Source organism: Homo sapiens, chromosome 10 (assembly GCF_000001405.40).
Source record: "Homo sapiens chromosome 10, GRCh38.p14 Primary Assembly".
Lineage (NCBI taxonomy): Eukaryota > Metazoa > Chordata > Mammalia > Primates > Hominidae > Homo > Homo sapiens.
In genome coordinates this window covers 22,618,963-22,632,675 of record NC_000010.11, presented here as the reverse complement: position 1 = coordinate 22,632,675, position 13,713 = coordinate 22,618,963, and the positions used below count along the sequence as shown (strand labels likewise).

Below are 13,713 nucleotides of genomic sequence, written 5' to 3'. Positions count from 1 at the left end.
GGCACTGAGCTAGGTGCCAGGGATATGAGTGTGCCTGGTGGCCTACACCGGAGGTCATGCTTCTTGCACATGGAATAGAGCAGATGACATTGCTTATCCCAGTGGGGTGTGAGAGAAATACTCCAATTAATTGTATGTAAGGTGCATTTTGTGGCATAAAAATGACAAATCCAGCTAACACCAACTTGTCAACTTTAGTAAGGATGGTGCAGATTATTAGGGAGAAAAACAATGTTGTACATACTATACTAAAAATACCATTTTAATGTTTGTTTTTATTTTCATTTTGAAACAATTTCAGACATAAAAATGTAGCAAAAATAATACAAAGAACTCCCATATGGCCTTCACCCAGATGCTAACATCTTATATAACAAATAGTACAGTTATGAATATGAGGAAACTAACACTGATACAAGATGACTGCGTAATAATAGAAAGCTCTTATTTACATTTCCGCACTCATTCCACTTTTGTTTTCTTTCTTGTCCAGGATCACCTGATGCATTTGGTTGTCATGTCTCTTAGTCTCCTTTAATCTGGACTATTTCCTGTCTTTGTCTATCATGACCTTTACACTTTTCATGAAGACTGGTTATTTTGTAGAATGGCTCTCACCGAGAGCTTGCTTCCTAATGATTACATTCATTATGCAGTTTTCACGAGAATACCAGAGCGTTAGTGTTGTGTCCATCTCAGCGCACGTATCAGAAGGCGCGTGATGTCCACTGATCTCATCACTGAAGCTGTTGACTCTGGTCAGTTGGTTACGGTGATGTCAGTGTCAGCTCTCTCCACTGTTAAGTCACTGTTGTTTCCCTTTGTTCTTAAGTATGTTGTGGGAGATACTTAGAGATTGTGTAAATATCCTGTTTCTCAGCATACTTTTGCTCAAAAAAATTGAACATTTATTGCTGATTCTTAATGTGTAACAGTTATTACTGTGGTATTTGCAAATTGCTGATTTTTTAATTTTCATTATTCCTTCTACATAGTTGAAATTGTACTGTAAGGAAGAGTTTCCTCTTCTTCCATAGAACGTGAAATCATAGATTCTTATTCTATGGCTACTGTATTAGTCTGCTTAGACCCACCACCAAAATGCCATCAGTTGGACGGCTTAAATAACAGATACTTATTATCTCCCAGTTCTGGAAGCTGGAAAGTTCAAGATCAGGGTTCTGACAGGGTTCGGTTTCTGGTGAGGGGTCTCTTTCTGGCCTGCAGATGACCACCTTCTGCCCCTGTCCTCACATGGTGGGCCTGGGCTGGGGATGGGGGCATTGAGCTCTTTGGTGTCTGTACTTAAAAGGACATTAATTCCATCAGATCAGGGCCCACCCTGATGAACTCATTTAGCCTTAAATACCTCCTAAGGGCCCCATCTCCAAACAAAGTCACACTCGAGGTTAGGGTTGCATTGTAGGAATTTGGGGGAGACAAAAACATTGAGCCCATGACAGTTACAGTCTGTTATTATCACTATTTACAAAAAGGTTATTAAAAAATATTTGGAAGAGGGATTATTGCTAAAGCAAAGAAACTCTGTATTGACCATCAATACAAAGTAAAACTGAACGTCGTATCCTGTGGTGTGTTAGTATACCGTGTGTGGCCTGTTGTGCTGCTTTCTGGGCAGGGTGCATGACTTGGCTCCTGATCGCGAGAAGCTGTCATTTTAGTTCCTACCTACTCTCTTGTCCCTGTTGCCATGTTCCTGTCCATTAGTATTTAGTCTTGTAAGAAGAATAAGAGAATTGATGTGTCAAACCTTGCCTGAGTCTGCTGGCTTAATTGGGTGGATGATGATGGAAGGTGAGAGGACCCAGAACCCAAGTATGTTGTAGTAATTGATAGATGGTGAGTCATCCCTGCAATTTGCATATCCTGTCCCAGCTTTAGAGGACTGTTGGGGATTTTGAAACCAAAACTTAACAGAATATGAATTCTGCTGTTGCTCAAGTTTTTGAGTTTGTTACCCTTTGTGGCTCATTCTGAAGTTTTGCTGATAATCATATATTTGCTAATGTCTAAAAACAGAACGGTTGGGTCACTGCTGTAAGGCAGATAAATACAGCAGTTCTAGAACCTGCTGACTTGGTGGATTCACATCTACAAGGGAAAGCAGTTTTCGTTGTAAAAATCCCCATTTCATGTATAAGAAAGATGATTCCTATCTAGTCATGTTTTTAACAGTCATCTAGTAATTCTGTATTTTAACATCTAAGTAGCTACTTATATTCTGAATAGCTACAAAGCAGAGCACTTGAAACAATCTTTAAAACATAGGGCTAGAGGAAAAAATATAAACCACATGATTAAACTGTTATGGTGATCATCAGGGACAGTGTAAATCATTATGGAAATTAGGTGGAGGAAATGGCATTGTATCATTACCAGCTTCATATCAAACAAAAAGGCTGTTTGATATGAAACCCCAGCCCTCCAAATAACTGGGACCACAAGTGCATGCCACCATACCTGGCTTTTTTTTTTTTTTTGTAGTCATGAAGTCGCCCTGTGTTTCACAGGCTGGTGTTAAAACTCCTGACCTTAAGCGTCTTCCCTCCTTGGCCTTCCCAACATGCTGGGATTACAAGCATGAGCTACTGCGCCTGGCCTTGGGTGTGCTTTTGGAGTCAGATGGAAACTTCTTGAGAAATACAGAGAGCATCTTGTAGCTAGTCCAGTCAACCAAAGACATTTTTGGAGAACATCTAATACCGCTTCCTTTTGTCATCTAGTGAAAGTAAAATATCTTTTTTTCTTAATCCTGTTTTGAAGACATCTTATAGAAAGGAGGGCTCCCCTGCTCACTCCTTCTTTAGAATTGAACACTTTTATTATCACATGTATCATGTATCTACATGTGCTAATAAAAACAAAAACTACAGCAAAGACTGGGTTGTCTTTGGTTGGAATAGGAAATATATTTCCTCTAGAGTGTTAAAAAGGGTAAGAGAAAACTAGTGAAACTGATTTAGCTAATTTAGTCAACAAGTTAGGAAAATGACATTTCCTAAAGTTCTGATGGGGTTAGCTCTACCTCCTCAGTGGAAATAGTAAACCACCTGGAATTTTACTTTTAGTATATGTCATTATTTGTATTTTAAATTTATCTTCAGTGTTGTTTATATATTACTTTAAAGTCACTCTTGATTTTTTTAATTATAATACAGAACTTTGTTTTCTTTTAAAAGGACAACTTATTTTATAGTTAGCATAGATTGCTTTCCTCGAAATAAAAATTGTCATTCCATTCTAGCATCCTCTGCCAATTGCAGTATGACTCGAGGTATGACTGCAGTTGTCTTAGAATCATAGGTCTAGTGAGTGCTTTAGGCTTCCACATTTTTGAAAAGAATGCAAGTATGGTGGACCTTTAACCACATAAAAGTAAAATATTAAATGAAGCATGCTTTTAATAGCCATCCTGTCATTTTTAAGGTTTCAATAGTGTATGTTTAGAGGCAGTGAATTTAAAAGTGTTTGTATATTAAAGCTTAATAATCCTTAAGCATTATTAAGTTTCTGGTAAATTGTTCTGTTTGATGGGCTGTCAACAAATCATGTGGAAATAAGAGAGAAAATTGTTGTTTTGGATTTTTTTAGCAAGGAGAGTTATGTAAACCAAAAACAAAATTCTGAGGTCCCCAAACCATCTGAACGGACCCCTCCTGTAGGCCAAGGGTGTTCCAAAGTTAACCTGAAAAACGTGTTCAGGCCATGATGGAAGAGGGGGTTGGACATGCCTCATTCTACCATTTTCCCTTTTGGAATTCAGGAGAAGCCAACCAGCATTAACCTCAACACAGATCTTAAGTCTGATAAGAAGCATTTACAGTCTGTTCTTTCTGAAGCTTGCTACCTGAAGGCTTCATCTGCATGATATACCCTTGGTTTCCAAAACCCCTTATCCTAACTCAGACATTGCTTTCTATAGAATAACTCTTTGAACCAGTTGCCAATCAGAAAATTTTTCAATCTACCTATGACCTGGAAGGCCTGCCTTCCCCTGCTTCAAGATGTCCTAACCAATGTGAATCTTACGTGTATCTGATATCTCATGTCTCCCTAAAATGTGTGAAACTAGGCTCTGCCCCAGCCTCCTTGGGCACATGTTCTTAAGATTTCCTGAAGGCTCTGTCATGAGCCGTTGGTCACTCATATTTGGCTCACAATAAACCTCTTCACATTACAGAGTTTGACTCTTCGTTGACGTTACTGTTTCCTGAGTATACAGCAACAATTTAAAGCATTTAGGGTACAATTTTTTCTGTGATTTTTGAGACTTTTTCTAACGATCAAGATTCATACTATAAAAAGGACTTAAATAATGGATATGAACATTTATAAGTTTGAGATGCTGTGCACATTTACAAAAACAAACAACTTCTTCAAAAATTGCTTGGCTGGTGGAATTAGTCTGTGGAGAATATTTTATTGAATTTATTTTATGCCAGTAAAATAATCTTTTAGTAAGTCATCTTGTGTTTAATCAGTCTAAACTTTGGTAACTTGGTAAACAGAAACTTAATCATTGGCATTGTAGCTTTTGGGTTTCTGAGAGATCATTATGAATATCAGGATTTTTCTTTGCTAGATATAATAGTAAAATCACTTTAAAAGTTTATAACCCAGGGAATGAGTTTAAAATTTGGTCAACAACTGTTTCTTGTAGTTGGTTCCTGGGATGTACCAAGTGTGCAAAAATGAATAGATCTAGTCCCCACCCTTAAGGTAGCTGTAATATTGTAGGGAATAATGACAACCATAGGCCAACTTTTCTCTCATTAGGAAAAATTGTGTTTTATCCTGTTGTGACAGCTAATGCTTATATTCTTACATTCTCCCTAGACTGTCTTTACATAAGAAATTACTAGAGTCCTCAAATAAAGAATATCATGGGGATTCTTAAATTTGACAGTAAAAGACCTTGCACACAGGCAAAGCCCTTGCATGGTGAGGTGGCAGCAATGAAAGCACAATGTGTCATGTATCCCAGCAGGTTTGTACAAAGCCACAGCCAGTGGCTTTCCTTATCTTTTTTTTTTTTTTTTTTTTTTTTTTTTTTTTTTTTTTTTATTACATATTAGCTTTTGGTTAAACAAATGCAGGTCTATTTTCAGTATTTCTTTCACATTCTTGATGAGCAGGGAAAGGCAATGTATTAGAGTTTATGTAAAAGAGATATTTGTGAGAAAATATTAAAGAAACTAATACGCTATTTAAGATCTGTATTATTCACCTAATAACCTTTGAGAGATCACTTAGGGCAATCTATGCTGTTCCTAGGAATATGTGTGTGATGCTGGGTGGTTTGGTGGGAGAGACTGTGAGAGTTAAATACTCACAGTCTGCATTTTATCTTGATGAAAACTGTTAGCCTCAAATGATTCAGAAGAATTTTTAGAGGTTTCCAGGTTTAAAATGTAGTGAGAACTGCCTGGATTAAATCTGGGTAGATTGCATGCTTGATTCATGTTCATAGCATATGGAGAATGAGAAATTAATGTTAATTGATCTAATTAGGAATTAGGATTCTCTGACGTCTAATTCTCTGGTTTATTTTGCTCATCTTTTTTTTATAGTTGATAGAATACATAGAATGCGTGGGAGGAGATGGGGAGAAGAGAGAATTATTTATGCAAAACTCATGTGATGGCAAATGCCCTTTTTCCTAAAGTAATGAAAACAACTAGTAGCAGTTTTGTTCTCTTGACAGTTTGTGAATAGGAATATTTGTGGGTAGGAGATATATATTAATTGGCATGACATATTTTTGAAAATGAGTCATGAAACTGTGACAGTTGTTTTTTACTAGGCTAAAAGAAAGTACTTGTTATTTTTGTTATTTGTAAAGCTAAAGTATTTTTTTGTGAGTATACATGCGTCTAAATATAGATGAAAATATCCTGTTTTCAGCTATGAAAAAGAAATTGAGCTTATGGTTGTTTTATAAACCACACCCCTATACTTTACATTAAAATATGAAGTAAATTTGTATCTATACCGGGAAGTGATTTTCTGCACTTCAGTGTGATGATGGAATATAGGTGTGCTAAAACCTAAAGTGAAAAATCTTTGTAACAACTTACTGTACTGGGTAGCTCATCCTTATTCTCCTCAATTTTCAGAAACATTTTCAGGCACAAAAGAAAATTATGTAAGAAATGTAGTGTGGTATGTCTTATAAACAATATCCTCGTGTTCTGAATACAATAGCTTTGAAATATTACTTGCTAAACAATTATTTCTTTAGACAAAACTTGAGTTGTCTCTTGGCTTTTATTCTTTTAACAACATGCATTTTTAGAAATAGTCTCTTAGGCTAAAGAACATAACTCACCAGGAAAACATGATTAATTCAGTATATGAGAAAAGCTCTGAGCTCAAAAGCAAGTTACTCTTTTTTTTTAAGCAGAATATATTTTAGAAATTTGGGTAGGAGAAATTAATATAGAAGATTGGGATTTAGATATCAAAATGCTGAGTACCCCATGCAGTCATCTGATTTATATTCCGAACTTGCATAGTTTTTGCAGGCTCCTGGAATGCAGCCTCCCACCAGGCCATGGGAAAGACTCAGCGGGACCACGCAGGATGGCTATAATGTCATCTCTGTCCATGTGGCACTCACTTCAAGACTCCAGAGTCCAGCTAGAAAGGACTCTGGAGTCCATTGTGTAGGTGACATTGGTGTAAGCACAGGCCTTTATCAGAAGTCTGAATCTACCTTTTCTTCTTGTGACCCAAGAGATAAGAAAGGCCATTTCCCCTCCCTCCTGAGTTATTTAACTTTATTTCTCTTCTGTTCAGTGAGAATAATCTTATTTCAGTGTTGCGAAAACCACGTCTATGTGAAAGGTTTTTGACAGTGTTTAAAACATGATATTGCTGTGGCTAAGCGTGAATGCTGTTGTCGTGGCCCTGCCTCCTGCCTCTGGCCAGCCTGAGTATAAGAGGATCACTTTCTTTCTCAGCACTGCCAACTAAATGCCAGGAGCATGTAGAAGAGGAGAGGATCGTATCACAAATACCTGGGGACTGTTTTGTTTTTTTAACTCCAAAGCCCACCGCCAAATATCCTGTTTCCTCATCCCTGGGGTAATAGATGCATAAAGATAGGTGTATTTTGAAAACATCTCCCTTAGAACAATAGACTCCAGATTTTTTTGGATCACATAGCTGTGTTTATGTGAAATCAGGGCATACGAATAACATGTATTGTGATGTATACATTATAGTCATATAGAAGTATTAATGTTCTATACATTTTAATGCATATTTAAGACTGAAAAAGGTAAGATTAAGTATTTTCAGTAATTTTAACACTACAGAAAATCTTTTGCTCTCCGTTAGAGATTTTTTCATGAAAGCAGTAAAACTAATTTTTGAATTTTCTGAAAATGTTGTTTTAATAGTGATTTTTTAAAAGCCTAGCTCTTAAGTTTAGCATATTTTGATTGTCAGTTTTAATGGCTTTCATTGCTGAAAAATACACCCCACAAAGATTTGTAAATACAAGTGGAAGAACTGTATCACTGGCCATTTTTACTAAATCATACGAAATTATTATGCTCCTTTTCTCAACACATCTCGCCAGTTATACAAAGGTTTTTAGTTGACTTTCAGATGATAAAATTTTATTCTGAAACTTATTGGAAGTTTATTGTGTTTTTAAACTTTTAACAAATAGATTCAAAAACCATTAACAAATGGGTTTGAAACTCTCTGGCAAGATTTCTAATACACTAGAATATTCTATTTCCAAGTTACTAAGTGTGCTGATATAAAAGTTTTCATAGGTGACACAGTTTCATTGTTTTTGGCAAAAAGATAACAAAACAGTGGAAATATTTTCAAACATCTGTTTGTATAATACTCTTTCAAAGCTTTGGTTTCTCTTGAAAAGCAGTTAATTTCTTACTCAATGTTGAGTCTCACCTTTACTTTGAAAGGAAGCGTAAAGTGTGCTGATTTTTTTTTCCCCCTGCTAGGTAACATACTACTGAGAAGCACCTCTGACCCCTGCAAAGGTCCATGAATTTGGAACACATGTTTTATAAGGGAAAAGTGCATGACTCATCTCCTAAATTCCACAACTTTTTTTTAAAGTGCTTGCATTCTTCTTCCCTCTCAACCATACACAGTAGTTCTTTGAATACAGGAAATAAGTTAGCAAATACCCGAAGCAGAGAAATGTTAGAATCATCTTTACTTTGATGCAATTCTAAAGCAAACTTCATAGGCTGTGTAATTTATTCTAATCCTTGAGTCTTCAAATATTGACTGGTGTTTCTATGCCTCTGCCCGCAGTATTTGCTGACAAAGGAATTCATTCAAATTTGATGCCATATTGGTTTTTACATGCTTTAAGCCATTTTTGCCTTGGTAGAAATAGCAAGTGCTTCTCCAGTAATATGTGGTTTTTAGTCTTTTCCTAGCAGAGGAACCCAGAAAGAAGCTTCTACATGTTAATCATTAAATTAATAAAATTTTGTGAAGTACTGAATTTGTAGTGTAGTACTGCCCAATGTTAAACATAGTGAAGAAAACTAGAGTTGTTTGTCTTCAGGTCCTGAGTGCTTAGATTTTAAATGACTTGCGCATTTTGATAGCTCTGGAGTATCATTAGCTGGTATCTCTAGGCACAGTGTACACTTAGGGAAGCTTTATCATGAACAAAAATGAATGGAAGCCCACATTTTAAATAAAGTCTTCCCAGTCATTTTAATTGTTGTGAACTATTCTTTTCATATCTGATGAAATCATCAGTGCTTTGACCTCATCATGTGACTGATAGCGAGAACCCTGGGAGCTCAGGGCTCAGTCTTAGGCCTGCCACGTGGCTTCTTGTTGATTGGTCCTGTGTGTTTAACATTAGCTTCAGCCCATGTGGTTGTTTTTCAGGCATCCTCTTAAGCACTTACCTGTTTTGTGAGCGTTGCTTTAGCTTAGTTAAAGCCAGATGGTATGATCTGCAAATCCACTTAACTGGGCACATGTAACCTACAATTGGTTGCAATGCACTGGACCTGAGCAGTGCACGGACGTCCCCTGCCAACCGCCAACCTCTAAGCTCCTACTGTTCCTGGGGGTACCTCCCTTCCAATATACAGCTCATGACGCTCACATTGGACTGAGGAGGGCATTCGTCAGACAAGCTGTGTAAAGGCAGCCTTTTAGTATAATGTACATAGAGAAGCTCTGCTGTCTTCTCCCCGAGGAGCACACCGCCCTTGTGGAAGACCCTTGCGACCCTTGCCTTAGAGCTGCGGTCTGCCCCTGAGTTAGACGCTTCCTTCGTGAGCACTTTGGTTTTTCTCTCCATCATTACTATGAAAATAACAAGTGATCAAGAATTTAAACAGTACGGAAGCTCACCATTACAGGTGAGCTTCACCCCCGACCCCAGACACCTAAACTTGATCTTTGTGCTTTTTTTGTGCTTTCTCAGTGAGTTTCATAGACAAACACATGAATGTGTAACCTTTTTTTTTAAAAAAAAAGTCAATGGTAGCACATTAAACGCATCTCTATCTCGCTTTTCTCACTCTGCACTATTTCTTAGAGAATGTTCCATGTTGGTTTACACAGCTATACATAATTATTTGCCCCGGTGTTTGCTAGGTAATATGCTTGTGCCATTATTTATGAATTTGTCATGTTAGGCATTTTCTTTTGAGTTTCTGCCAAGGCAGATGATGCTGGCTCTCTCACACCATCTCTTTTCTCCCCTCATCCTTCTTTTTTTTGAAATAATGCATACTTTTTTTGGTAAAATAATAGCATTCACCTTACTGTGACTCAGTTATTTTTAGTACTTTGTGAAGTACTAAATTTGGCGATTTAGTATTGCATGATGTTAAATAGCATTGAGAAAAAAATTATAGATTTGTTATAGTCTCCTTCATGCTAAAGGCTTTCCTCCCATGTCCGGTGGTTTGTTGCTCTCCAGTCAGGTTTTAGAACGAGGTGCTGGAAGACAGACGACTTGTCCCGGGTATGTGGAGTGGCGGTGCCCGTCCACTGACAGTGGGGAAGAGGCCAGCCTTTGTGCTGCCGCCCACTGGCGGAATTATTAATATTTCTAGGGCCTTTCCGCCAGAATGGGAATCCTCCAGTGTCCCCTCGGGGAGTGACCCAGGCCAAAGGTGCGATTGCAGCAGAGCAGGGGACAGCGGCAGAGGGCCCAGGCCTCAGAGCACAGATGGTAACTGGCTCCTCCCGTGCTCCGTGACGCCCAGCCCAGCCCTGTGTGAGCTGGGTCTTCCCGTGCCCGAAGCTTCTTGGGCTGGGGTTTCTGAGGAATCAGTCCTGTGCCTCTCATGCGATGGGATGGCATGGACAGCAACAGGCAGCGCACCGTCTTTCTGCCACCTGAACCCCAGCTGTGGAGCCCCTCAGCATCTGGGAGCACATGGCATTGAGTGGCCACCGGCACAGAGGTAGCAGCTTTGTCTCCTCTTCTGTCTGCTAACAATCCTCTACTACTTTTCTGTCTTTAAAAAATTCTTTGACATTTCTCGTTTTCTATTGTCTGCTCTCCAATGTTCTTGTCATGTTTGGTGGTGGTGTTTTTGATTTTCCCCCAATCTCTAACTTCCTTTACTGTCATCTTAGCAGAGCTTCTGGAAGGAAAAGAGATAAAAATGCATGGTCAGGTCATCTCTTAAAATGGGAATCCGGGAAAGCAGTGTAAATGGCAGCATGGTACCCTTCCTCTCATTGTTCTTTCAGGATGGATGCTGGGCAGGAAAGCAGGCGGCCCCTCTGTTGTGGTCATGGAAAGAAAAACAAAAGTTCTGGTGTAACAGAATTAGGATTTCATTGCTTCCTTCTGGAATCTTAACGAAGGTCCCAACTGTGAAGTCTGCTGAACACATCTCAGTTCAAAATGCTGAACTGTACATGCCATCCCCTTCTCCATTGTCTTACAGGTTTTATTAATGATGTGTTTCAGTGATTGATTTTCTGAATGCACAGCTGTCACTCACTGCTTACTTTTTCAGTAGATGTGGTTATCTGGGGTACCCAGGGACACCTGTATTACATACCAAACTCCTCCCCATCTTCTCCATGGCTAGCCAGATTTAGGTATGAGATTTAGGGCTTCTGGCCAGCTTGGTATCATCTAGCACCTTCTGGAAGCTTTGCCTTCACAGCTTACTTGGGGAACTCTAGTTTTAGAACATCCTTATCCCAGGATGAATGGAAAGAAAGATACCAGGGAAGTATTAAATTATTTTAGCATATTAAATATCTGACTAAAAAGTAAAATGTTTATTTGAAGTTTTCAAGATCAGTTTCTTAGAGTGCTGTGTGATTGCTAGTGGTCATGCCATTTGGATGAGTGAAGTTCTTATTTGACATCCATTAAGTATTTGAGTGTCTTCAATTGCAAGTGGCAGAAATTTACCTTCCTCTAGCTTAGGGGATTGATTGGTTTCTGTCTCTGGAAAGGATGTTGGATTAGGCTGGCCTCAAGATCCCCCAGGTCCAGAGATTCAAATGATGTCATCTGCACGTGGCTCTTATCTGTCTTATCCCGTCTTTTCTGTGCATCAATGGTGATGCTTAACTTTACGTGGCTGAAGACATGGTTACAGGCAACTGCAGGCATATTAGCTTCATTTAGCATCTCTTCCCTGTCCCCTGTGTCAGTTTCAAAAGAAGACCAGGAACTTGCAATGCCTTTGATTAGAATATTGGAGCTGTGGCTTTTCTTCCAATCTTTGTCCCTGCACTGCCACATCCACATAAATGAAACACTTAAAGAGGTTATGTGTGTCTTCCAGGAATTAAGTGGATCTCTGGAAAGTTGTTTTGTGATTCATTTGAATTTGTGGGAATGTCTCCCAAGTGCAGGCACCAGAGCCCTGTGGTGGCTAAAGCCCTGGAATGGGCCAAGTCATCCAGGCAGGAGACTCCAGGGAGTGGCAGGAACTGTGCCCAGCTGGAGGGTGTATCCCCACAGCTACTCAGCACCAGATGAGTGATGCCGGGCCCGGTGCCAGGTCTTCCCATTTTTAAAAGAAGCCAGAAATCCAAATTTGTATGTAAATGTTCTCAAGTCTGAAAAGATTGGTGATTAATTCAAGCATTTTCTAAATCACTATCTGGGCCAAAGCACACATCACTGTGATCTCTTCTCAGACTCGTTTTTTAAAGTATAAAGCGAGATCAAGAGTGCTGGGGCACTTTGCTCAAGGCCAGAGGGTGGTGACGTGGCTGACCAGGGCTCAGTCATAGGTCTCCTGACTCCCTGAGCCTGGGGCCCTTTTGAATGGACCACGTTGTAAGCTCTTGTTTTCATTGGCAATGTCTTTGTTTGAATTTTTAAAAAAGCCAGTATTACCTCTGTACCAGATTATAAATTTTTGGCCTGAATTCAGTAGTTTTATGTCAGATTCTGTGGTTCATGGGAGGTAGAATTTTAACATGACTACATTCTTTTGTATGAAGTTGACAGTGGGCCAGCCGGCAAGGATGTCCGTAAGAGTCTGATTGAGCTTGCAGATACCAAGTTGACAGATGGGAGAGTTTGTGTCTATGTTATAAATTAAAGTAAGATTCTAAGCAAAAGTTTAAATATTTCTGATGACATTTTAATTTTAGTCAAGTAGCCATTAATCAAAAGATTGACTTAATGATTCTTGTTTAATTGAAAAATCTGCTGAAGTGAATTAATTTAGGCTTTTGAGTTTGTGGACCCTGGAAAGGATGACCTTTGTGCTTTTATTCTCATTCCTACTCACCTTTGATATCAGAATAACTTTATTTGGCTTGTCAAAAAAAGCATTTCTTTTCTAGATATTGGAAGGTAGCTCAGATTTCAGAAGAAAATGTTAATTAAAATATACTTGGATCTTTGATTTTTGTCTTATCTGCAGATAGACATCAACTTTTGAGAAATGGTCTTAGAAAATGAATATTAGCTGGGCGTGTTGGCTCATGCCTGTAATCCCAGCACTTTGGGAGGCCAACGCGGGTGGATCACCTGAGGTCAGGAGTTCGAGACCAGCCTGGCTAACATGGTGAAACCCCATCTCTACTAAAAATACAAAAACTAGCCACACGTGGTGGCGCCCACCTGTAGTCCCAGCTACTCGGGAGGCTGAGACAGGAGAATTGCTTGAACCCAGGAGGCGGTGGTTACAGTGAACTAAGATCATGCCATTGCACTCCAGCCTGGGCAACAGAGCGAGGCTTTGTCTCAAAAAAAAAAAAAAAGAAAAAAGAAAAAGAAAATGAATATTGATGAAGCAGCTGTAGAAAATTGACCTCTTGCCTCAAGACAAATAAAAGTACATTTCCCAGACATTTTCAGCTGCCCGTTTTTTCCTGCCTCTGTAACTGATTCTAATTTGCCCTGCCTGTCCCTCTGAAACCTCAGAACTTTCAAATTGCTATTTGGTTTGCAGGGTAGGTTGTAATGAGAGCCACAGCATTCCAAGTGTGGGCTACATGCCTGAATCATATTAGAACTTCATTTTTTTTTTTAAAGTTCTTAATTGTTTCAACCTATATTCATTGTAATATTATAAAAATTATTTCCAAATGAGAGCTGGTGCTCAAGTTGGTGATTTTTTCCCCCAGTACAAAATTAACAATTACACATGAATATCAGATAGTGAAAATCAGATTAAAAATGTTTAGGTAATCCCTCATTCTCCCAATAAGACACTTAGTAGAAAAAAGTAAGAAAAA

At 38.8% G+C, this 13,713-nt stretch overlaps 1 protein-coding gene across 6 annotated transcripts in view, besides 1 other annotated feature; it reads left to right on the top strand.

Annotated features, from left to right (window-relative positions):
* The window catches only part of PIP4K2A (phosphatidylinositol-5-phosphate 4-kinase type 2 alpha), a 179,725-nt gene that overhangs the window by 81,903 nt on the left and 84,109 nt on the right, over window positions 1–13,713 (top strand). Inside the window, exon 1 of one of the 6 annotated variants that reach the window (XM_017016331.2) lies at window positions 5,088–10,451. The exons of the other annotated variants lie outside the window; for them this stretch is intronic. The gene's annotated coding sequence lies outside the window, so the exon portion shown is untranslated. Of the gene's footprint in view, window positions 1–5,087; window positions 10,452–13,713 lie in introns of those variants that run through there. 6 annotated transcript variants of the gene reach the window in all.
* Window positions 8,550–9,050: an enhancer, noted in NCBI's record as "H3K27ac hESC enhancer chr10:22912555-22913055 (GRCh37/hg19 assembly coordinates)". NCBI's record gives its function as "activates a minimal SCP1, AML or CMV promoter by ChIP-STARR-seq in naive H9 embryonic stem cells {active_cell/tissue: H9 hESC(naive)}" and the evidence as "EXISTENCE:reporter gene assay evidence [ECO:0000049][PMID:30033119]".